General features: G+C 38.4%; 2 long non-coding RNA genes across 2 annotated transcripts in view; both read right to left on the reverse strand.

The window, feature by feature from the left end:
* Window positions 1-27,276, reverse strand: part of LINC01725 (long intergenic non-protein coding RNA 1725) — a 285,210-nt gene that overhangs the window by 250,228 nt on the left and 7,706 nt on the right. The window lies entirely within an intron of this gene.
* The window catches only part of LOC101927560 (uncharacterized), a 59,031-nt gene that overhangs the window by 24,499 nt on the left and 7,256 nt on the right, over window positions 1-27,276 (reverse strand). The window contains exon 2 of the long non-coding RNA NR_119374.1: window positions 23,893-24,008. This is a non-coding gene — a long non-coding RNA (uncharacterized LOC101927560). The remainder of the gene's footprint in view (window positions 1-23,892; window positions 24,009-27,276) is intronic.

Consider the following 27,276-nt stretch of genomic DNA (forward strand, 5'->3'; position numbering starts at 1 on the left):
ACATGTGACTAGCCAGTTTTCCCAGCACCATTTATTAAATAGGGAATCCTTTCCCCATTTCTTGTTTTTGTCAGGTTTGTCAAAGATCAGATGGTTGTAGATGTGTCGTATTATTTCTGAGGGCTCTGTTCTGTTCCATTGGTCTATATCTCTGTTTTGGTACCACTACCATGCTGTTTTGGTTACTGTAGCCTTGTAGTATAGTTTGAAATCAGGTAGCATGATGCCTCCGGCTTTCTTCTTTTGGCTTAGGATTGTCTTGGAAATGCAGGCTCTTTTTTGGTTCCATATGAACTTTAAAGCAGTTTTTTCCAATTCTGTGAAGAAAGTCATTGGTAGCTTGATGGGGATGGCATTGAATCTATTAAAATCTATTTTCTATAAAAACATTTGTATATGTTCCTAAGGATAAATAATTATGAAAGGGTTTACAGGATTAGTAAATAGTATAGAACTCCTGTCCAGGAGACCATATTTTTTACATGTACTAAAATCTTCTATTATACTCAGTATACTTGTAGATTGGGCAAAAGACTGGTAATGAGAGGGATGCTTTAGGTGTGACAATTGAGTCGTAGTAAGCCCATGTCATGATTTGATGCACCACAACAGATTTTTGTTTGTTTGTCTGCCTGTTTGTTTGTTTTGAGATGGAGTCTCACTCTGTTGCCCAGACTGCAGTGCAGTGGTGCAATCTTTGTTCACTCTAACCTCTGCGTCCCGGGTTCAAGCGATTCTCCTGCCTCAGCCTCCCAAGTAGCTAGGATTCCAGGTACCTGCCACTACACCCAGCTAATTTTTGTATTTTTAGTAGATATAGGGTTTCACCATGTTGGCCAGGCTGGTCTCGAACTCCTTATCTCAAATGATCCACCTGCCTCGGCCTCCCAAACTGCTGGGATTACAGGCATGAGCACTGTGCCCGAACCACCATGACAGATTTTTTTAAATGTATTTTATCTTAATTAGTCTTTGTAATCGTTTGTCAGCACTGTAATATGTTGTTATTTTCATTTAGCATATCAGGAAACTAAGATTAAGAGAGGCAACTGGCTTCTCCAGGGACACAGTTTGAAGAAGTCCACCTGATTTCAATGCCTTACGTTTCTCACTGCAGCCAAGGAAATTGTAACAGTAACAAGGAAACAAAGAAGACTTTATTAAGCCTTTACTCTGGACAAGACACTGTGCTACTCACTTTACAACAACGCTATAAGATGGTTAATATCAGTTTACCCATTTTACGGATAAAGAAACCTAGCACAGAGAGTTGATATAAACTGCTCAAAATCACATGTCTAGCAAGTTCTAAAACTGGGACTCAGACCTGTGCCTAATGAACTCTAAAGCCCAGGCTCATAACCACTACACCATATTGCCAAGTGGGAAACAATGATATTGCCAGATGGAACAGGCTGAGGTTTTGCTGATTTGGGGGAAGGGGAATTAGTAAAAGATAGGTTTTCACAAGGCAAGTGCAAAGAGATAACTATTCAGCAAATTAATGCAGTAGTTTAAAGGGTAGTTTGAGCAGATGCCATGTGGAAGTTACCAGAGAAAACATCAGTTCTTTAAGCCAAATGGTATTTTGAGAGCATGAAGATAATGTAATTATAAGATTTTTAACCATAAAAACAAATCCATATACATAAACACTTAGCTAGAAGGAGAATAGGGCATAGCTGGGTATATTACATTAAACACGTCTTTTACTAATTAATAAGATATTGGTCATACTGAAATTACAAGTACTCAAATGCAGTGATTATATTGGGATTTGATGTATAATTACTGATGTTTATATTTACCCAGAAATACAAATCTTCCCAATCACTTCTCCCAGTGAAGGCTTCTGTGAGGACAAGGCAGGAGCAGAGAATGTCTCATGCCTAATGGTCCAGGGCACCCCTCCAACCCAGAAAATAGAGCCAGGAACTGTGCGAGAAATGGAAGTCAGAGGGGAGCTGAAGATAAGTTACTGAAATGAGACTGCCATGGCAGAGATCAACAGCTGCCTACAACAGATGCTGTGCTTTTCACAAAAGCCATCTTTTCTTCTTACTTTTGTCTGCACGTTAGAATGTAAGGACTCCAAAGGGACAGGTGGTAAAGAGAAATAACTTGGGCTTTCACCAAGAACTTCAACATATATGAAATACCTTACTAGTCTATGAATAATTCGAAGGCTGTGAGTAGAACCAATCCATCTTTGTTACCCCAGCTCCCAATATGGGCCTAACAAGTTGCTCAGCAAATGTCTGTTGACCAAAGAATGACTGGTCTCATTATCAACAGATCTGTGCTGTTTCTTTTACTTTAGGGTGTGGCTTGTGCACAACAAGAGATAAAGACAACCTAGAATATCTATTTAAATCATATAACATTTGTAACTACTTATATGTAGCCTGGGGGACCTTTCCTGCCATATTAGGAGATGATTAAAAGAAGCAAATTTCACTCATCTGACCAGGAGATTGACCTAAGTGAACTAGGTTCCAGTGTCCCATATCATATACTTAGCCAGTGCTAATGTGTGTTTGTGCATGGCAATGTTGAAAGAATGTGAAACATTTTCACATTATGGGAACTAGAAGCACAGAGAGAGATAAACTTCCTCCAGCTGAAGAACAGAGAGTAATCTTTTCTGTTAAACAGTGAGAAGCACTCAGTCTCCCATACGATCCAGCCTGCTTATTTTGAGGAATGGAATGAACAAATGTTTTTCTCATTCTACTGCATTTATTTCACCAGCAGGCAACAACATCTCTGCTACTACCCTTCTGAATGCCATGCTCAGATGGAAGTTTTTGCCTCACTGTACAGTTTAAAAATATCTTACAATTAGAAGTAGAAATAAACTAAAAACAATGTTGAGCAGAGAAATACTTGACAGAATGGAATCCAACAAATATATTTGGTAGCTTACATTTTGCTAGTTATGTGGAAGTCAATCTTGGTAAAATTATAAGTTAAAGGTACTGTCAACTAGCACATATGTGATACATCTTTGGTACTCCGTAAATATTTGTTGAATTAATTAATCTTAGCTTTCACAGTGTGGTACCAGATGGGAAGATTCAACATCATTGTCAAAATGTCCTCAACTCTCTGCTCACCTGGCTGTGTCACACCACGCTTTGCTGAGTCTCCTCTTTCCTCTCCCCGCAGTCTCCTTCGCTGGCATTTTCTTCCCCTATCCTCTCAAAGAGGTGGTATCCCCAGCTGACTCAGCATAGCTTCTTGTTCTTCTTACTTCATACGTTTCACGTGAGCACACTAATCCTGTCTAATTGGCCTTAACTACAGCCCACATGGTAATGATGCACACATCTCCATCCCCAGCCAGACCCCTGCCCTGAGCTTCAACTCTGGAAAATTTCCTGTGTCCACCCAACATCCCCTTTTTGTCCTGCCTGCTGCGCTTCCCCAGGCTCTCATCAGTTCTCTCTGGGACTACTGCAAAGTCTCTTGTCCTCCACCTCCAGCCTCGCCCTTCTCAAATCAACCCTACCCAGGCTTTTAAACCCAAATTAAACCAGACTAGTCACTCACTTCATGGCTTTTAAAGCTCTGTCACCCCACCTCTGCCTGTGGGAACAAGTTCTACCTCTTTAGGGTGGCATGCAAGCATCTCCATGATCTGTCTCTGCCTACTTCTCTACACCCACCCCCACTCTTTATCTTCCACTTTAGCCACTGGAAATTCAAACTGCTTGATGTTCCACACACTACATGCTCTTTCAGGCTTCCCAGACTTTGTCATCACTGTTCCTCTAAGCCCTACTGCCTTTTTAAACACTTGGTTCCAGTGGCCTCTCCTCCAGGAATCCCTTCATGATCTCTTCCCCTATTTCCTGGTGACTGGGTCAGGTATCGCTTGTCGTGGGCCACCTTAATACATTTCTATTACTGAACTTACCACACTGCATTAGAATTATCTAGTAACAATTCTTCCCCCTCCAACAAAATCTGCATAGAAGAGGAATAAGGCTATATTTTATTCAGCTTTGGGTTTTCAGCCCATAACATGGTGTCTGGCACAGAGGGTAAACAAAACAAGTATTTGTTGAATAAAACTGAACTGATGGTTGCAGATGTGTGCATTAATTAGCATCTCAACAATCTCTGAGCGCACAGCTACTCAGAGCACAATCAATTATTCCAGTTCCTAAATCCCCCTGGGGGAGAAGCTTACCCCACTCCATGCCATTCAGAGGCATGATTGCTTAACTGATATTGCCAAATTGGGTCACAAATAATGAGAAAAGTTCCATTTCCCTCAGCTGTGAAGGTTTTGAGGCACACAAAATGACACTAAAGCCTAGCCACTTGGACTACGCATTTAGGATTGTGGCACCTGTCAGTATGAATGTGTTGCCTAATTAAGTATTCTTTGGATAACAGTGTCACAGGCCAGGAGAACCAGTCTGCCAGGTAGATCTCCCCTTAACCTCACTGGAATTTCCTATTCTTTGTCTTTACACTGTGAGCAGAAACAAATTGCCAATTTTGTTGATGCAAGCACGTTCTCAAACAACTTGAAACTACTCCCAAACACCAACAGCCATGTGAGAAAGAGATGAAACGCAGTTTGTGGAAAGTAAATTCTTGATTATGTTGGAATTAAAGGGTACATACTTTGCTGCACTTTCAAGAACTACAGGTAAGAGACACAACAGTGTTTTACTCCTATGTCAAACAAAAAGCTGGCAATTTACTGTGCAAAATAAACAGATGGAGAAAAATAGAAAGGTGGTATCTCTGCTTTTTAACTATATTCCTCAAGGGTCGTCACAAAGAGAGAAGTAATAATTATAGCAACGGAGTGAGTGTTCTCTTGCCCCTTGGAAAGCTTTATAGACTGGTTGTTTACTGCTAACTTTTGTGAAAGACTAGTTTAAGTATATTAAAGCTTTATGGCCTGAGTGGGAGCCATTACGTATGGAAACTGACCTGACCATTACTTATAAGCAGGTCAGAGACTGGGATTCAAGAAATAACGATGTTACCATTGCAAAGACAGAGAACAAAACTCAACTGCAGAGAAGACTGAGAAATGTAGTCTTCTACATTTGAAATATTACAAATATTCTTCTATACTTCAAATATTCCAAATGTAGTTTTCATGGATATTTGCTGAGCACAAACTACTTTTACTATGCCCTCCTTCACCTAGAACATGATAGGCTTGATAAACTGTTTCTAGGAGAGGCAGAATAGAAAAGCATATTAGTTTTAAAATCTGGGCTTTGGAGTGAGGTTATCCAGGTTTGAAAGCTAGCTACACTACTTACAAGCTAAGTATACTTAGCCAATTTACCTAATCTCATTGTCCGTCAGTCTTCTTCCTGTAAAATGGGCATAATTGGCATAATAGTACTACCTATCCCATAAGCTTGCTCTGAGGAGTACGTGTGTTATAAGTTTTTATTACATGTGTTTCTAGAGCATGATTCCAGAAGAAATGGGCCATTCCATTCATAATAGATAATTTACAAATATTAAAACAAAAAAATTGGGGAGGGAAACGTGTTGCCAAACACCAAGGGATTGGCTTAGATCTGGTTGCTTGCTGCAAAGAAAGCCAATCACAGAGATGGCAAGTATTGCCAGGGATCAAAGGCTTTATTACAGATGATGTCAGCTGAGAGATGGGAGACAAGTCTAAGCTAACTAAAATAAAGGGTTTACATAGTGGGGAGTTACGAAGGGGTAAGCAAGGGGAGTTGGTCAACAGGCAGCAGGTGTGTCTCATTGTCCAGATGCCATGATCTGAGATGTTTCAGTTTCTCGATACTTTCTGGGAGGCCTGATGGTCAGGTTCCTGAGAAAGGAACTTAGATAAAACAAATGTCTGTTACTCAAACTTCAGTTCTAAGGAAAAATTGGGCTTGTTTCAAACATATGAAATGTTCTGAAAATGTTACTGATCTCAGTCCTGAGTAATTATGTGTCTTGGTACTTAATAAAATTTATATTAAAGAATGGAGAAAGCTGGCTGTGTAGTGGCTGAAATGAGAAGAAAAAGTCATAATTTATGTCATCATTGTCAGTCATCTCATTTATAAGAGGGAGTCAGGTCACCCTGCTCCTCAAAGCTGGGACTATGTTGTTTCTATGGAGCTTTGTTCACCCCTTATCAAGTGAGAGATCCTCCATATTTGTGGCAAAATCTCACCATAAAAATGAGGAAAAGGATGCAGGTAACATCTAATCCTAAATATCATCCTGAGTGGAGAAAAAAAAAAAAAGCGAGAGACTTTATTGAAAAAGCTTTTTTTTTGGTAAAAATTTTTTAATTTGAGGTAAAATCCACACAGTATAGAATTAACCATTTTAAAGTGCACAATTCAGCAGCATTTAATGCATTTGAAATGTTGTGCAATCACCACTTCTATTTACTTTTAAAACATTTTCACATCCCCAAAGGTAACCCCAGCAAGCAGTCAGTCCCCATTTCCTCCTCCCCTAGAAACTGGTAACCAACAATCTGCTTACTATCCCTATGGATTTACTGAATCTGGATATTTCATATAAAAGGAATCATACCATATGTGCCCTCTTGTGTCTAGCTTCTTTCACTTGACATAATGTTTTCAGCTTCTTCCATGTTGTAGCACTTGTTCCTTTTTATAGCTGAATGATATTCCATTGTAAAGTCTTACCACATTTTGTTTATCCATTCCTCAGGAGAGGGACAAAGTTGTTTCCACATATTGGCTATTGTCAATGCTGATGCTATGAACCTTCATTTATGTGGTTTTTTTTATTTTTATAGATTTAGAGGATATAAGTGCAGTTTTGTTACATGGATATATTTTAGTGTAGCCATCACCCAAATAGTATACATTATACACATTAAGTAATTTCTCATCCCTCACTCCCCTCCACTTCAGCCCCTTCCAAGTCTCCAATGTCAATTATTCCACTCAAGTGTTTGCCTGAATACATGTTTTCAATTATTTTAGGTAGGAGTAGAATTACTGGGTCATAGGGTAATTTTTATATTTAACTTTTGGGGGAACTGCCAAACTGTTTTCCACAGAAGCTACACCATTTTACGTTCCCACTAGCAATGTCCAGGTGTTCTAATTTCTCCCCATCCTTGCTAATACTAGTTATTTTCCATATGTTTTTATTGTAACCATATTAGTGGGTGTGAAGTAGTAACTCACTATGGTTTGGATTTGCATTTCCCTAATGATTAATGATGATGGGTGTCTTTTCAAGCACTTGTTGAACATTTGCGTAACTTCTTTGGAGAAATGTCTATTCAAGTCCTTTGCCCATTTTTTTTAAATGAGTTTTGTCTTTTGTTATGGAGTTATAAGAGTTCTTTATATATTCTGAATACTATGCCCTTATCAGGTATGTAATTTGCAAGTATTTTCCTCCTTTCTACAAGTTTTCATTTTCTTGATAGTGTTCTGTGATGCACAAAGGTTTTTATTGTGATGAAGTCTATCTAATTCATCTACTTTTTCTTTTGTTGCTGGAGTCAGTGGTATCATATTTGAAGCCTTTTGAAAAATCAGTCTCTTAAAGTTTGACTGTTTCATTCACAGACTAATTGAAAAGAAAATCTAATTTGTTAGCCAAGACACTGAAAAAATATAGAAGTCTTACATTCTCTTCGCTCATCTTTGATTAAGAATTTACTAAAATTAGTTCCTAATTTGTAATATATTTCCAAAAAATATATCTGTTGTTAAAATATCTTAACAAGTATGAAAAATATGCAGAGTCCAATAACATATCATTAAAGTATTCATAAGTATCATGGCCTAGAATGGCAACAATAGTATAGAAAGGATCCAGAATTTAATTAGAAAATATAGAAAATAAACAGTAAACTGTTGGCAGTTATACCCTGGTTGGGGGTGTTACAGACTGATCCCTATTCAAATCAGCTGAAGCAATTAGATAAAAATGTATCTTGAACTTATGAGGTGGGAGTTGCAAAATAAACCCCATCTGAAGGATGTAGCTTGGAGTCCTTCTTTTTATAGCAACTATTTAAAAGTGCTTCAAGTGTCCGTATTTGAGATAGAACCACTCTGAACATGCACAGCCCAGATTCCACATCTGAGATGATAAAATTGTTCCCTTAGTGAGTATCTTTCCAAATCCAGGATGGTTTCAAATTAATTATAAAGATGATAAGGTATTAATATTTTTGTGTCAAGTTCAGGAATGGGTTTTTAATCATTGATACAATTTGTGTATATTCAGTATTTAAACTATTTGTAATGATTTAGGATTGGCATGTTGGAGACTGACAGATTAGCCTGGTGATTCCAATTTAAAATATGTAATTGAGTCGTGATTTAAAGTTGAAGGTGTAAGATTTTGACTAAGTTTGTAAACAGAATTAGATAATTTCAGAGAACTAGATTTACTATGTTTATAAATTTAATAATTTATTAGACTTAAATGACTTATTTAAATTCTCAAGACAGTTTTGCTCATTAGAGACATGAACTTGTCACACTGGTCAATTACCTGAAAAGCTTAAAAAGAAAACTGAATATATTACATTTACGGTTGCAGTTTCAAATTCCCACATTCATAAATGAGACTGATTGTTTAAAGAGAAATTAGTTAAGTTGATCAAACATTTAATCAATTGCTCCTCAAAGTTATGATGCTTAATTCTTAAAAAATGTAAGTTTTCAACAATAATAATACTTACAAATCAAACTTTAATATTTAGGGAAAACTACAGGGTTTTAACTTTAAAAATCCAATACCACGATAATTTAAATTACAGGTAACTCTGATTGTGCAATGCACCGAAGTTATGCGAGGTGCCCATGTGTCATAATGCCCATTCAAATTACACAATCAAGGATAAGTAGTAGTCCTAGGATAAGAGAAATGAATTAGTGAGCAATGGTCAACACAAGATAAAGTGAGTGTGGGCAATTCTGCACAATTTAGGTAAAGGCTTATTTATTTATTTATTTAAATGGGGAAGGTAGCCTCTTTCCACACAGTTACAAAAAGGAAAAACATCTTTAGAGTAAGGTATTGTTCCCTGGGTTCTCCTAGTGGAGAAATGTAATTGCTGCAACCAATATGTGTCTCTGAAACATGGCGGACCAGACTAAATCTCAGAGAAAGACAAGGTCTTGACATTCAGGATGCTGAGCTCAACATCCTTTTAAACTGCTTGCATATGACTTTGTGGTTTTCAAATGAAAAACCTGCAACATTTTAAAAACCTTAAGGAGTGAATAACTGATATGTTTCTCTAGTGGAAAATGAAGGCATTCGATGGCATAGAGGCCTGTGTTTGGACTCAGATAGCTTGGGTTCAAATCCGAGCTCAGCCACCTATTAAAAGAATGACTTTGTACAAGTCACTGCCCTCAAAGAAAGTTCAACTGTAAGTAGAAGGTAATAACTATCTCTTATGGTTGTAAAATATTGTAAAGTGTTTAGCACCATGATAAACACATAAGAACCATTCAGCAGGTTACTATTGCAGTCACTGTATTGTTAGGAGTAGGAAATTTCTGCAAAAGGACATGAGTCTACCATTCACATGGCTGCAGATTTTTTCTGTCTTCAGCCTTTGGCTAAGAAATACACTTTACTGTTTTACATTAAGTTCATGATTTTCATACACTTAGAGCAAGTTGTCTCTTTAAGAATCAAGAATGATACTGTCATCTGTTAAAAATTTGAAGAAAGAACATGAATGCTGAAGGCTTTTATTAAAATGTTGCTAGATATGAAATAACATTCTTCTCATTGAATGGTCATAAATTGAGAAATATGAAGAAAACCAGCTTGCACAGCTGTGAACATCTAGTTATTGTAAACCAAATTTTTGCTTTTGAAAACTTCATTCATACATGAAGCAACTATGAAATTATTGAGACGTGATAGTTTGAGAAGCTTAGGCATGAATTTATTATTTTTTCAATTGATCTTTTAGTACTTCACTGTTGTTTAATTCTCATGCATTGGTCACATCAGTCATTTCAAAGCATTAATAAAATGAACATGGTCACCTTTGTTTATTGTTAGATAAATTTGGGAGAGTGGAGATGACTATATGGATCGTGTCCTCAAAGACCTCTGAGGCCACCTTGGGAAGTTAAGTCTTCTGGAAAAACATCACATGATTCACCTTCACCTACCTAAGTTTCCATGAAGACAGTCCTCTTATAAGAAAATTACTCTGCTAAATAAATGTTTATTATAAAAAACTTGAAACTGTGTGTAGAGACAAATAATATTTTTCAAAACAATGTATTCTGTATGGTTTCAGTAAGTACAATTTTTACTATACTCATAAAGACTTGGGGTTTCAGTTTTTAGTTAATTAAGAAATATTTTAAAGAAATTAGTATTTCAGTTTTTAATCAGAGTAAGGGAGAGGTAGGACTATCATGAATAAAGAAATTCTATACAAATATGGACCAGCTGTTCCTTATCTCCACTGGGAGAAAAAAATAAATAAATTAGGAAAGAAAGCCCTCAAATGTGCAGAAGGACATTTAGATACTGAGAATGACTGAAGAAGGTTATGAAACCTCTATACCTGGAAGTCTTTCAAAGGACAATCCATACCTACCTGGGGTGACCAGGTCCTCCTGCACCAGACGCTATCTCAAAGCCCCAATTAATCTAAATATTCTATTTTTGACAGATGTACTCTTGGGGCTTCTATGACAGGAAACTGAAATTTACAGTTGAGGAGTGCACCTTTGATTGTTAAGTACTAAAACTAAAACTAACTTGCCAATACCAAGTTAGCCTGACCCAGGATGTGGACTTTGATCTCAAAATGGTTGAATCCCGAAAATACTGTCACTGTCTTTAGAAAAAAAACCCCAAGAACTGGAGACAGCTTTTTAAGTAGTATAATTAATGTGGAAGCATCTTTCACAGATTTCATGGCACAATCTTCCATGAACCTGAGAGGGAAGATTTCATCACACCCAGCAACTGGGAGGGTTTTTCCTTACATTCCTATTTATCCAGTTTAAAAAAACAAAAAAACAAAAAACAAAAAACAAAAACAAACAAAAAATACTTAAAACTAACTAAAGCACATTTAGGGCTCAAAAATTGTAGTACTTAAGAGGATTTATTTAAATCTCTCAAATAACAGCTTGAAAACAAATCCTGTTAAATGCTCCATTTCGCTATTCTTGTCAAAAATTTTTGCTTGGCCCTTTCCCTTTTATTAAACTCTGTAGCTATCCATTATGTTGCAAAATAACGTGTATGGTTGTTAGCAATAACCTGTAGCCATCGGCATTTCTGAAAGCAGTTAGAAAGCAAAGCCTTGAGATTTGCCAACATGGTAAAGCTGGATTATGAAGATACGATTCATCAGAGAAAAGAAACTGAGAGAATTTTTTTGAAATGCTATGAACACACCCCTTCTTCTTCAGATCTTTTCCCCCATTAGCATCACCTGCAAGAATTATTTGCTCTATGAGTGGGTGCCAATACCAAGTTTTAAACTGAATATACACTGCAAAAGCTGATGGGCTTCACTTGTCCCAGAGGCAGGAAAAGTCAGCCAGGTCTTATTTGCAAGAAGACTCAAGGATTCAGAAAAGCTTTCGAACTGCTGAAACTGACATCTGACTGCCAGGGCTAAGATCCCTAAAATGTCCAGGAGGAAGGCCTCCCACATGCTCCAAGCACGGTAACTGGGTGGACACTGTACAAGATGGAGATGATGCTGATGGTCTGATGAGGGAAACAGGCCATCCTAAGAAGGTGAGGTCAAACACTTAACCCAGGGACGCAGTTGGCGGAGGGGCAATTACAGGAGACAATGACTTTGAGTACCTCTCAGTTTGGTGACACTCAGATTACCTTCAAAGGAAAATGCTTATAAAAAATATTAAGTCTTAGGGAAGAGTCAATCTACTAGAGATGAAAAAGGAAGAAAGCAAGAGAGAAAAGAGAGCATTTTCCCACTTCCATGTGGAGACCGCTGGAGCAAGACTGAAGAACAACTGGAACTAAGCCACTTGGAAGTAGCAACAGATAATACCACACATACCTGGGAGCAGCATGGCTTTTGCTGAAAGTGACAGAGCAGAAATGCAAGGTGAGATATGTGGAAAGCTGCTGAGCCAAAGGACTTGATGAGAGACCATAGGATACTTCTTTACTTGATAGGAAGGGTTTTGGGGAATTAGGAATCCATTGATTTCGCTAAGCCAAAGATTATTGCTTTTCACCAATATCATGATCCTGTTGTGGCTGCAGATAAGGATCCCAGAAGAAAGCAAGTGTAATGAAATACTAAATAATCTAAGCACCACAAGGCTTGGTCCCGGCTGCATACTTTCTTGTCAAGGGAGGTGCCCTCTGACATGATTTCTCCCAACCTTCTCTTTATCTGCCCCTGACAAGAATCCCCACAGCCTCCCTGCTGTTGATGTCCCTTCAGACAGCACTGGGGCAGCATCCTGGCCAGATGGTTCAAGCCTGGCTGGCTCCCACAGTGGCCTAGAGATCCAAAAGAAATTCATAGAACCCTGCTAGGCTAAACAGTGCTATGGCCACTGGCGATATTTCCATCCCCGCTCTTCCTTCCATTTCATGCCAATTCCTGTTTCCCTTACTCAAATCAGCAAGTCTGCTTCATATGCAGATATCTACCTGTACAGAAGAAGCCAGTCTATCCTTTTATTAGCCACCCTTACACATGTAAAAGGCTGTCTTAGCTCTCCTCTCACTTGATCTGGTGTGTGGGGGCAGGTAGGCGTCCCAAGAATGTGCTGTCCACTAAGCGAATAACTTCCCTAATTATTCCCCTTGACTTCCTTATGTAAATGGAGAGGATAATAGCAGGGATAGTTCTGCCACCTCTTAAGTAGGTCCTGCAAGGATTTTTGGAGGTTCTCTTCAGAAGAGAAGGATTACTGTCTTCATTTCGAAAGATTTATTTGCAAATCTGAGACAAAGAAACGGTTCAATTCAACATCCTGTTACATCCAGTAAACACCTTACTAGAGGGGATGTTAGATGGCGCAGCAAAAATGCTTGCTAATCAAAGAAGCAGTTTCAGAATCTTTCTTAAGACAATATCACTGCCATTCTACTGGTATAAAAATATAATAGCAATATTATTTTTATTCTCATTCTATAGGTAACAAAAATGAGGCTACAAAAGGTTAAGCAGCTTGCCCAAGATCACACAACTAATAAGGGATGACAACAAACTTCTAACCCAGCTCTCTCTTGAATATACTGTAATAACATTATATGGTGGTCAAAGGTGTTGAGATAGTTGTGATTTAATAGACTGTCACGAGTATCTCCTATTGTTTTCCCTTAAAGTGAATATTTTATCTAATTAAATCAATATCCATGTGTTGACCTGCCTGAATATTTTACACTGCTAAAAACTAAACTTTATAGTCGTAGCATCTCAAATAGATATTAAATGGACATTGACTTAAACATATGGCTAAACCCTCTATATCTACAAGATCGATTATTTGTAAGTGGACTCTTCATATTCTAATTCTCTAACAGACTTCGTAAAATTGAGAATCCATTCTCTGTTGTGTGAGGAGAGCAGAGTCTGTAAGTATGATAGTCTTATATCAATATCTACTACTTGAGACTGTCTCATATTGTACATTCTCTAATAAACAGCAGGCCAATTACAGACCAATTAGGTAATGTGGAAAAGTCATTAGTGAAACTAAATCTAGCATATCTGGACTTCCAAGCAAACACCATGCAAGGGAAACAAAAAATCAATCTGACTCAGCTTTACTCTAAAGATGTTACAATTCCAGCTATGAATTGCATCATGTCCAGTACAACACATCATTCTAAATACTGGTGAATTTTAACATTCTGTCTAGGAATATCCCTGAATAATGACACATAGATTTCATAAACCTTTATAGGGCAGCCAGCTTTTAATTTTGTCCTACGTATATTCCAATTAAAAGTCAAATGCCAACTGGATGCATCCAGAGAAAATCCTGTGTTCAACAACAAAAGCGTCAGCTGTGAGCTAAGGCAGTAAAGATTATATGGTGGTCAAAGGTGCTGAGTTAGTTGCTATTTCATGCCAAAATGAAGACAAAATCCCTGCGCTTAGGTGACTGGGAAGTTTGGGTACAGGTGGGGAAATACAAAGAAGAGTCAAGGACACTTTGGGAGTACTCAGGATGGAATAAATTTACTCTTCTCAAAGCAGAGGAATGAATACATAGTTTACTTAAACGAATGGGATTTGAGGCTTGTATAGATTGTCAGTAACCTGACTGAAAGAATTAATTAGCACATCTAAATTGGATCAATCATTTCAAAACAAAGAAAGAGAAGAGTCACAGAAGGAATGCACAGGTGGTGTTCATCAAACATTGTTGGAAGACAGGATACCCTGCCAGGCCAACATGCATATAATAATTTTGACAGGTTATACAGTAAGGACAACACAGCAACTGTAAGGTCCCACAATTAAACATCTGAATCATATATAAATTTCCTTGTTCTGATTTTATTCTTATCAAGAAATATTCTAATATTTAGCTTCTTATGGAACTTTTCTATAGGAAGAAACTTCACCTGTCCAGTACGTGTTCAGTATTTTTGTAAATTAATAAATTAAAATTTCAGGTTTTATGAATAAGTTTTATATCACTTATGGCTCTCTGGAAAAAAGTGATTAAAATTAACTTTGACTAATGTAATCAAAGGAGAAGCTATTAGAGGAACAAATAGTTGCAAGACTAGAGAGTCCAGTCCTAGAAACAGGCAGGAACCAAAGCAACTCCAGAGACCAGAAGCTGGAAATACTAAAGTTGTCTTAGAGCTGGAGCAACCTGGACAGGGAACAGCCTCTAGGCTGCTTGACTTCCATACATCTCACCTTTCATTGTGCCATATGCACAAAATCTAAATCCCAGAAGAGAATATCCGCTTGGCCAAGCTTATTCACATAAATGCTCCCGGACCTAACAGAGTAATGAAAGTATATGGAAGGAGGAGCCTCTTCATCTGTAGTAGAAGAGCAGGTACCAGAATTCACTGTGCCACCAAGACAACACAAAATAAGACACAGCTATTTCCTCCTCTCAAAAAAATCAGTGCTGGCGGGAAGGAAGAAGAGATGTTTGACAGCCAGAACCCAAATGGCCACCACACATTCCCATGAGTGTTTTAATGGGACTCAAGAGTCCAAAGTCTGGTTACATTTGGGGCAAAGACAAATTTAAATTCTTAAGGCTCCAAGGGTGAGGGGCAGAGTCTGACCCAAGGCAAATTCACAAAAACAAATGTCACTTTATGAGTTTTGGAATGAAGAGCTTTTATAGGTCATACAGTCTTACTCCATCTCGACCTCCCCATCGATTACTGGTATTCTATTACACATCATGTCTGAAAAAGATTGCTTGACCTGATAGTTTCCAAACTTGATTTCATATCAGAATCACCTAAGAACGTCAAACAATACAACTCCCAGATTTCCAGTGCTGCAAGGAATTCTGCGGTGGGCTTAGGGATCTATACATTTATACAACCTCCCCAAGTCACTGTGATACAGCCCATTCTACCTTACAACTATTCTGAATATTAGAAATTTCTTCCTTCTATTGACCCCAAAAGATACTAAACTGTAGATTAACACCCATTAGTACATATTTTAATTCTTGGGACTAAAATGAATAATGACTCTTCCTTCTTCTCCCAGCAGCGTTCAGAAATTTGAAAGCAACTATTCTGTCCCATTACATACTTCATTTTCAAGACACCTCCAGGCCAGTTATTCCAAGCTTTTCCAATCTTTCCCATTATGCCAAGATTTTAAGTCTTTTTACCTTCCAGGTTACCCTTCTCTAATGCTCTTCAATTTCACTCTATTACTCTTAGATATTTCAAGTGATCTGTGATCAGTTCAAATATTATAATTTCTCTTTTGCAAGCTAAGATCACATAGCTTGTGGGTGGCTATATCTCACATGGCCCATTAACAAAGGTCTCTCAATTATTTTTGTTAAACAAGCATTATTACCAAGCTAGTCCCCTGCCCAAGTCCCCTTTCTCTAATTCTGTATTGTTATAGCTTGTTCAATTTTAATTTGGACTCACACACATGACCTTACAGTCAACTCAAAAAACTTGTTTACTTAGGTTCTGCTTATCCTTCCTGTCTGTCAATCTTTATCTATACTACTAATTTTGTCCTCTAAATCAAAGTGACTGCAGAATTTCTACCCATGAGGGTCTTTGACAGTGGGCAGCAATCTACCTGGAGACAGGTTCTTAAAGAAGCATTTGCCAAACATATTAACAAGACTGAGAAAATTTCTGATGGAAGCTAATGAAATGTGGGGGATAGTTCTGCCAATTCATCTCTTGATGTTTCCATGCGTCAAATATTTGATATTCATCCCAGTCTCATCAGCAAATTTGAAAATCACACCTTTCATATTTTCAAGCAAACTATTGACAGAATGTTACACAGAACATGTTTGAAGATAGCAATATGTTTATTATCTGATATGCAACCAGATTAATACTGATTAATTAATCAGAAATGCTTGGATATTGTTGTTCAACTTGTTATTACACTACCAAATTTTACCTCCATACAGCCTTTGTATTTCTTCAATTCAAGCTTATCATGATACAGCTGGCAAAAGTAAAAATAAAAATAATATAGTTCTAAGATCTTCCTGTAAAATAGCTTTGGCAAAGAAAAAAATAGATTAATATGTCTTGTTTTCAGTAAATCCATCCAGTCATTCAATGGCTATCCTACAATTTTGCCTGGAATTGACATCAATTTCCAGAGTTTACCTTTGAGTTTAGTATATTGAAAACTCCATGACAGCAGGGAACCATAATTGTCTTGTGTCCTGAGAGTCCTGCAACAGTGCCTGGCACCCCGAGGGCACTCAATAAATGTTACAATGAATGAATCTTTGGTTCAATAAACGTACTTTTTCCATTTTTGAAAAATCAAACTGGCATTTATCTCAGTCTTTTGATTCCTCTATGATTTCTCAAGAAGTTCTCTGCCTAAGATGTGGCAAAACGGTATCCAGTTATGGGAAGGATCAGTCTTGAATAGACCCTGGGGCAATAATAGTGGAGTCCTATCCCTGCCAACCAGTGAGTTCATAGCTCCCACATCCTGTGATCTGTAACAAATTTTGTGTCCTGAATATCTAAAGGAGCTCTTACCTTTAGCCCCTTATTCTAACACTGACCATATATGTTGGAATATGTGCTAGTATACACCTGACTACCCTTGCATCTAATTTCTTTTAACCTGAGTGATAAATAATCTAGGCATATAATTTTTCACTGGAACTAAGCCCTGGCATGAATCCCTGCTGCTAGAGGTAGTGAACTCTTCTTTTTATTGCCAACCAGAGATTAAATTTTGCTTGTAATATTCCTGTTACTAACTTTATGCAGTAATATGACCTATCAGTTACATACTGTTGCCATGCCCTGCTCTACCAATTCACAGGGCCTCTTGGCACCACCAGAGTCTGAATGGAATTAGAATTTGCTATCTCCTTTGTATTGGGGGGCCTTCAATGTCCATCTGATTTCTCCACATGTGGGAGTAGATTTCTGGTAAGCTCTCATGTATTCTGTTTAGTTTCCGTAGCTCCTATTTTGCCAGTCTCTCTCTGGATTCCTAGCATGTCCCCTGTTCATGGGAAGAGTAGTCTCCAGAGTATAAGACATCTGTGCTAGGAGACCCAACATCATTTCAACTGTCTAGGTCTTCTCAGAATCTCTGTCATCCTGGGCTCTATTTTCCTTGTATAATTTCAGTTCTAGTCTATGTGGTTTGAAGATTAGTTTCCTTGACAGTTAACAGAAGCAAAAACAATTGAGGAATTCTGTTTTTTTTTTTCTTTTCTATTGATATACAACATCAGTTCTTAACATGTAAAATACACTTCCGTATTTTGTGTTTTAATCTGGTTGGCATGTCACGCAAACACTGGAATGGCCCAAACTAAAATACTGCCACCATATGCTGGTGACAATGTGCAGCAGCTAGAACTTAAACACTGCTGGCGGGAGTATAATAATGGTACAACCACTTTCGAAAACTGGCAGTTTCTTATAAACATGTGTCTATCCTGTTACCTAGAAATTCCTCTTCTAAATAGTTACCCAAAAGAAATAAAATCATATGCCAACAAGAAGGTTCATAGCAGCCTTATTCATAGTAGCCAAAACAGGGAAAAAACTGAATGTCTATCAACAGGAGAATAGATTAAAAACAAAAAACAACTGTGGAATAGTCATACAATAGGTTGCTATTTAGCAATAACAAAAAGAATGAATTATTGATATAAGCAACAACTGGATAAATCTTAAAAAACATTAATGTTGAGCAAAAATCCCCATATAGTTTATTATTCCATTTATATAAAGTCCAGAAAAAGGCAGAACAAATCTAGGTGTTAAAAATCAGAACAGTAATTGCCATGGGGTTGGAGATTGCCTACAAAGGAGCACAAGGGACTCTCTAAATCTTGAGTGAGTTGTGTTATATGTGTGTTCACATTGTCCACATTCATTGAATTGTACACTGGCAATTTATGGAATGAATGGTGACTGTGATTTACAAAAGAATAAACTGAGTTGAATAAAGGTTCCAGGAGAATCCATGGTCAGTGTTTAACACCGGTCAAAATACTTAGATATTTTGCATATATGTATACATGCATACAAACCCCAGTGACCGAGATGGGGCAGGGGAGAGAGGGAGACAGAGAATAGGAAAAGGGAAAGTAGAAAGTGGAGTGCTATGGTTTGAATATGTCCCCTCCAGAATTCATGTAGAAACCTAATCCCCATTGTAATGGTATTAAAATGTGTTACTTTTGCGAGATGATTAAGTCATGAGGGCTTTCCCCTCATCATGAATGGATTAGTGCCTTATAAAAGGGCTAGGGGCAACCAGCCTAGGCCTCTTTTTGTTTTTTTCTCCCCATCCCCTCCCAAGGATGCAACAACAAGGCGCCATCTTGGAAGCAGACAGCAGCCCTCACGAGACACCAAACTTGCTGGTGCCTTGATCTTAGCCTTCTGCCTCCAGAACTGTAAAAAAAAAAAAAAAAATGAATTTCTCTTCTTTACAAATTACCCAGTATGTGGTATTTTGTTATAGCAGCGTGAACAAGCTAAAACATGAAACTGGAAAGTAGGGATAATTCTTTGGGGGAAGTTCTGCTATAAAGAGATTCCAAAAAATGGAGCATGAAGGAAAGGCAGAGGCAAAATTGGCTCAAGTTTTTATAAAGCCATGAGATATTTAAGCATTTTTGTACCATGAGGATTATTCAGAAAAGAAGGAACGTATGAAGATGCAGGAAAAAGAGGGCACACATGTGGAAGTGATGTCTTTGTGAAGGTGAGAAGGGGAGAATCCAGTGTACAAAAAAGGGCTCTTCTGAGAGGCCCTTGAACAACCAGCCTGTTTCTTTAAAACACCCCAAATTCAAAGAGATGGTGTGCTTAAAATGTTTATTGCGGTATATATTCAGTTAAGAAACTAATTATTATTGGCAGCTGCTCTTCCTTTCTCTTTCCCTTGATTACACAAATTACATCCCATGGGTGATTGCACAACAACTTACACTCCAAGCACGCACAGAAAGCAAACTTTGTACTAGGGAAGGATGATGAATGTGCATTAAGGGATTGTCACAAAAGATTTTAGAAACTGATAACTTTAATAGTTATTCTCAAAAGAAAAGTACAGCAAAAAGTGGAAATGTAAAAAACTTCTTGGTCCAATCGAGGTTCAGGGCTGAGTAAAAGTTACAGTAGACTAACTGTTAATCATCCTTTCCTCATTTTGAACTGATTGAAAGCTCCAACTCTTACATAAGTGCTACAAATATCCTAAACTGCCTGTGATTTTCCTAAGCCTCACTGGTTTAGAATTAATATCACTAAAGCTCCATTCTCACCACATACAGGACTATCTCACAAAAAAAGCCTGTGTTCACCATCGACAAATACCCACAGCTTGAGATTAATAGTCAGGATTTAGGAGGGCAGGAACCTTCCATAAAAACCACATGTGAAGGCCAAAGTGGATTTTTAATATTGGGGACAACAAGCATTAACTAATTTTTCCTACTGGAGTGCACTGTCCTTTAGTCTCTATTTTTGCTCCTAATTGTTCCTGCAGGTAGTAGGTTAACATGTAACGTACTTACAGAAGGAAGCAATTGAACATGGCATAGATACTGAAAGAAAGGGCTCAATAAAAGAGCAGCATGTGCTCTAATCTGGCCTTTTACAACATCCACTATCAAAGAGCTTTGGGGGTTTAAGGGGATTAGATACCATAACCCATCTGTCAGGTCATTATGGAAGGAAACACTCCTGCTGTTTTCAAGGGAAGATGCCCTACTGTATATTATTATCATTAAGCATTTACAGAGTACTGTAGGCTTGCAAAGCACTTTGAAAGCATTTTTATTTGTTGTTCCTCATAAAATGCTGTCAACTCTAAGAATTATCTACAAATGAAGAAACTGAGGTTCAGGAAGATGGTGACAAATGTTTCAGTCACCCAGGGAGTGGCAGGAGCTATGAGGAGTACTTGGATCCTTCAGAAGAGGGAATACCTTCTATCTCCTACCTAAAAACATGCCAAAGGTGTGTGCTTGTGTGTGTGTGTGTGTGTGTGTGTGTGTGTGTGTGTGTGTAAGGCCTAAACCAATTCTCTTGGGTTTTCCTGCAATCTTATACATTATTCCATAACGAGCACTTATGAGTTATTTTCTGTAGACACAGGATGTATCTTAACAGCAGTCGTACGTCATGATTGACACCGTTCCATATGGGAGGAGAAGCAGGATGCATTCAAGCATGTGGATGTGTAAAGATGGACTGACATATCGCAGCTATCATTTACAAAACTGGAGATCCCAAATCTAAAGCATAATGAGGCAAAAATGAAATACTACATGCCCATTCATCCGTGTTGCTTGTAATTTGCTAGAAATAATTTAACATTCCAGTAAATTCTAAGCAAGTGACTTAGTATACAGGGCAAAAGATAAAGATGTCTACTGGAAAACAGCAAAGCTATCTAATATGGGCTCCCAGGAGGGGAGCTCTAACACTCACAATAACATGGCTGCAGTTACCTGATATCGTTTCTTTTTCTGAGATTCTCCCTTCTATTTAGAACAGAATTATGGGAGTTATTTTTGTGAGTCTTACAATTGAGGGGATTATCATTTTCTTTTAAAAGGGAATTAATCTCCATTAAAATAAGGAACAAATAGCACTGATACATTTAGACATTAAAGGGAGACATTGCCTCAATTGTTTAAATATACTGATCAAACTGGATGACTTAATTAAATGGCTATGTTTTGTATCTTTTAAAGTTGTTGTGTCTTGAAGAAAATGGAGAAAAACCATTTTTCATACTATTTTTTAATCATGAGTTGGTAAAAATGATTACTGATATTCACTTATTTATTCTATACTGAGCATCATCTATATGCTAGACACAATCTCTTTCCCAAGGAGTTCACAGCCTGATAAAAGAGATAAGATATATTCACATATAACTATATTACAATATATGGGGTGATGGTTCCATAGCGAATTATAGGTAAATTACCCTGGAGCTTGAGGGAAGGTCCAGTGCTTGAGAGGATTATCATCTCATTCACGGAAGCTGGGGTCAGGTAAGAAAGGAGGGGGAACATGGGAAGGCTTTACAGGACAGATTTCAACCAAGGTGCTTCTCCAAGGTTGTGTAGGGATTGGGCAAACAGGAAAGGAGAAAATGAGACATTCCTGGTAAAGGCACAGGGGCAAAGAAGCAGCTGGTAGGGGAGCTCAAACAGTATCTGGTAGTAGTTCACAGTTACTACATGCTTAAGCTAAGTCATACATAACTAGATGTAAAATGAAGGAGGAGAGAAGGCGAAAGCAGACCAATTCGTGCCATGGTTCCCAAATCTGGCTAATCCAAGAGATCCTGAATCCTGGAGATTCTGGTTTTGGCTTCATAGATTCAAAGCCCTTCTACCCTAGCCTGTGAATCTATGTAGCTGTAATTATCCAGCTACTTGCAATCCTCTGTCATTCAACTTATCACTTCATTTCATACCCAGTGCCCTACCTCTGGTCCTTCTTATCTCTCACCTGGATGATTGCAGTAGCTTCCTGCCTTGCTTTCTTATTACTGCTAGAATCATGTTTCTATAATAAAATGTATTTCTTCACTGCCCTACTTCAAAGCCATTAATGGCTCCATGTTGCATAACAAAGTACATGGTATACTAGGTTAGTCAAAATCTGGGCAAAACCTACCATTCCCCCGGCACAAATGCACACATACACGCATACTCTCTAAACATTCCCTAAAACCCATTCAGCCTCCGTCGGGATGCTTTGTGCTCCTCTTGTCTCCCAGCAGAAATATTAATAACATTTAGCATTTCATTCCTGGGAATCCATCCTAAGGAAATAATCTAAAATGTTAAAATATCTCTCTTTAGCCTCATCTCTTGTGATTTCCCACCTCACTCTAGCTCCAGTTGTAAGAAAGTACTGGGCGTTCTCATTGCCTCTGGGCCCCTTTGCAAAGGGTGTTCCCTCTGCCTGATGGCTTCCTGCTGGTAGATTTTTTCCTTCTTGCTTTTTTTTTCTGTATTTCAGCCTTAAAAGTATCAGTTAAAACATCCGTACTCTGTTGAATCTTCTCCATTCTGCTAAGCATTTAGCTATTCCCTTCACCAGTTTTCCACAGCACCTTGAACACATCTCCACTATCACGCTAATCACATTGAATTATAATGGCTTAGAAGTCCATCCCTCTCTAAACCACAAGAGCCAGGAGAACAAGAAGCATTTCTTGTCTATCCCCGTGCTTTATCGCTAGCATTGAGCCCTCCAACATTTGTGAACAGTTCAAATGAAAATTATGAAAGCTTCAACCAGGAGTGTTTGGAAGTCTATAGCAGAGGTAGAATTTATAGGGATTGTTAAACGTGTATGGAATAACGAAGAGAGGTGTCAAAGGCAAGGTCAAGCCCAGGTGGTGGTGAGGATGATCTTGACAAAAGAAATCAGACAACGCAGGATGAGAAAGTGGTTTAAAAAAGAACATTGACAAATTCAGCCTGGGACTTGAAAAAAACAAGGCAAAAAAGACCTCCGAGTTCTAGGTATGGAAGAACCATGGCCTGTTCATTCACTCTCTCTCTATCTCCTTTATCATCTCCCTCTGGCTTTCCTAGAGTTGGAGGAGTGGGGAAGGAGTGTCTAGAGAAAGAGATGAAATATTTTCACACAGACAGCGCTCCTTATAGTTCTCTATTGACTATTCCTGGCCTCTTACACGCCATCTGTAGGTCCAAATGTTAACTTTTTTGCAGGGTCTATTTGTGGGTATTTCACAGCCTTCTCAGCTTCCATGAGATGTATGGATCAGCTCATTCATCCCTCCTATAGGCTAGGAAGTCTGGATATTTCCAGCTTTACCTATGATTCTTCTTCCTTTAGCTCTTATGCTATTGAGATGCAGTGTGGGTAGCTGTTAGTCACTGTATGACTACATAAGAATCAATAGAAGTGTAACCAGTTTATTGAAAGGGCTGAACATAATGAGTACAAACAGGAAGCAGCTGTATTTCCCTCTTACCACTGCCTTTCAATATGTCAGATTCCCCTTGCCTATATACCTTAATGATATTTCAGGCAGCTCCCATAGCTTTCCAGTCATTTTAAACAACAACAACAACAACAAAAAGCAGTCTCATTTCAGTAATTATGAGTCATTTCTAGGTAGTAAAAGGCTCTGGTAAATTTTGACATTCTAATCGCATATCTCATTCAAAGCTTCTCCCCTCTCCCTAAGACAAGCTCAGTCCCCACCTGATTCCAAGCTCCTGCAGTGGAGAGGCTGGGCATGGTCTGTTCTTTTACTCTCTCTGTGTCTCCTTCACCATCTCCCTCTGGCTTTCCTAGTCAGACCAGAAGGGAAGAAGATTCTAGAGAAAGAGACAAAATATTTTCACTTAGACAGTGCTCCTTATATTTCTCTATTGACTATTCTTGGCCTCTTACACGGCATCTGTAAATCCAAATGTTAATTTTTTGCAGGGTCTATTTGTGGGTACTTCACAGCCCCTAACTCCCTGATGTGGGCACTCTCTGGCTAACCTCCTGTGATCCGCATATTCTCTCTCTCTCACTTGCACGTGCACTTGCGCGCGCGCGCGCGCGCGCGCGCACACACACACACACACACACACACACACACACACACACACGAGTCCTATCAAGGCGGCTGGAGCCTGGTTACTTCCAACACTTGCTCCATGGAAACTATGTATCTGTGTGACGCTACATGATGGGAGGATGGGCTTGTCTAACTGCTGCCCCTTCTCCCAGCACAGGTGGCTCCATAAGCCCCATAAAATCTTGATGAGTTTCCCAACACTCAATAATGAACGGCCTTTTCTTTGTCTAGGAAAGATCAGCCTTGTTAAAATAGAATGAAAAGAGAGGAAAATGAAACAGTCAGTGCTCAGTTCTGAGTTTTAAAGTACATTTATGAAACTGATAGCAGAGACAAAAGTGTGAAAGCAAAAGCTTTTACTTGCAAGAACTAGGTTATTTTGCAAGAAAGAATTGTTTTGTTGTTTTTTTAATTTAAAAAGTGTGGTTTGGAGAATTAAGCAAGGAATAAAAAGGCAGAGCACTGAAGGAGCTCGGGGCATAAGGTTTATGCCATAAACACTAATGAGAAAGCCCAAAAGAGAGCCAGGCTACTGCACTCCAGCAGAGATAAAGATTAAGAGGACTGGAAGAGGGAAAAGACAGTAATGGAGGAGAATGTGATGAGGGTGGGAAGTCAGCGAGGCCCTTGCTGGGGACCCACGCCTGGAAGAAAAACATGGTATACCCAGAAACTGCCCAGCCTTTGCCAGAGCAAAAGCTATATGTCAGCATCAAGCACCAGAGTGGCTCAGGGAACTATCTCATTGTCCAAAGTCCATTCTGAGAGCAGCCAATGAACCACTGCATATGACTTGTGCTGAGAAATTACATCAGCTTTACTTTTCATCACCATCCAGGGAGAACTTACTATCCACTGCAGTCTACTTACCACTTGGTATAAGCTCCAACTGAATCACCATTTGTGAACAATCCACCCTTTCTCCCTGACCCTTTAGTGGCTCAGAACACGTGAAAGTTCCCAACAGTGCCCTGGAATCTTAGCATGGTAGTATTACTGTGGGAAGAGAGGTCCCCAGCTCCTAGCTCCTATACATGTGTTGCACTATATAGATTGCTCTCGCCCAATACCTTTAGCAGCCCCCATGCCAAAACACTACCATTATATACTGGTTTTCTTAGGATAAGGTCCAAACATACCATAAAACAACCCAAGACTTACCTAGAAGACAAGCATGACAACAATAATAGAAATAAAACCTGGCAATTTGAAAAATGCAGAATAAGGCAAAGCAAGTTTCTATTCTACTTACGAGTAGATACAAGTTAATCATACCAGTCACCTAACCCTTTCCTCAACTTGAACATGTGGGAAAATGGGCTTTCCAGCGTAGCTGGGCTTTAAACCAATTTCTTCCTTAGCATCATATATTAAAAGCAGTATAACAATAATACTTTGCTGTCTTCCAGAAACTTAATTATGTAAAATAGGTCCCTTGCCTTATCCAAAGAAAACCAAGGAGAATATGTGGAAGAGATATGGCTATGAGGAATACCAAAGTCAAATAAACATGAGTATTTAGAGATGCTATATATTGAATTTGGTAACATTGAATTTTCAAAATTAAATACCTAAAATTTACCAGAAAACATCCATAGTGCATTTTCCATTTTCCTAGATATTCACAGGCAAGCATTTCAGTCAGCCTTAGAGAAATTTTCCAGAAAGTCCTAAAATGTGTTTGTATTGACCATTTCAGAACCTGTCAATGCTGACCTCAACAATTCCAAGTCACAACTCCTCCCTCCTATTGCTTTCCATATCAAGAGGCAGCATGGGTAGAAAACCTTAATGTTCAGTTAATTTATTACAGTCCTTGGAGGAGTGACTACAAACAGTTCACATACTCTATTCATGCCTATAGCTGCAAAGTACCTTTGTCGGCTACAAGGTATTACTCAATAAAACACTGTTTTCTCTGATTTTCAACATTTTAATAAATATTTACTAAAAATCTACTTTGGTGTGCTAGGAGTTGAAGATACAAAGATAAATGAGAAATAATCCTTGCCTTTAGGGAGTTCAAAATCTCTTTTATTTAGTGTGTTTATATGGTGGCTTATTCTTTTTTTTCTATTCAATTTATCTAGATAAATGGGGCGTGTATGTTGAACTTTGTATTCATACTCTATGTTGCTGTGTCGCTGTGTTTGAGGGCAAATCCCATTCTCTCTTCCTCTCTTTGTAGCTCTCCATATGAATGCCAGAAGTCTATTTCTTTTTCTGATTATCTCCCTCCCTTTACTTCAAACTTACTCCCTTCATTCTCTCTTCTTTAAAGAGTTAAGTGGGAATATATTTTATTTGTTAGAGTTGTTAGATTTTTGTGTTCCCCGATCTTAAATTTTAATTTTTGCACTTCAAATTTTTCCATATTATTTACTTATGTAGCCCTTATGTAGTTTTTTTCCATGTACATGTCAGTAGAACTTGACAGAAAAACAAGTTCTCAATCTCCTGAACTAACTACTCGCAGGTAAGATATATAAGATACATATACATAAACTCACACATAATGGAAGGATAATTATATTCATCACTCACTTTTACTCATTGATATCAAAAGTCTCATTATGATTTTCATTAGGATTTGACTTGATTTCTTTTATGCTCATAGTATGTGGGCCGGGAAAATACAATTTAAGAGCAATAATAAACAGAGAAATAGGAGGGCCAGGCATGGTGGCTCATGCCTGTAATCCCAACACTTCGGGAGGCCGAGGAGGGCAGATCACGAGGTCAGGAGATTGAGACCATCCTGCCTAACACGGTGAAACCCCGTCTCCACTAAAAATACAAAAAATTAGCCGGGCATGGTGGTACACACCTGTAATCCTAGCTACTCCGGAGGCTCAGGTAGGAGAATCGCTTGAACCCTGGAGGCAGAGGTTGCAGTGAGCCGAAATCGTGCCACTGCACTCCAACCTGGGCAACAGAGTGAGACTCCGTCTCAAAAACAAAAAAAGAAAGAAAGAAAGAAGAGAAAGAGGAAATACCTCTAAAAGAAATCAGGAAAT

This window comes from Homo sapiens, chromosome 1, assembly GCF_000001405.40.
Source record: "Homo sapiens chromosome 1, GRCh38.p14 Primary Assembly".
NCBI lineage: Eukaryota > Metazoa > Chordata > Mammalia > Primates > Hominidae > Homo > Homo sapiens.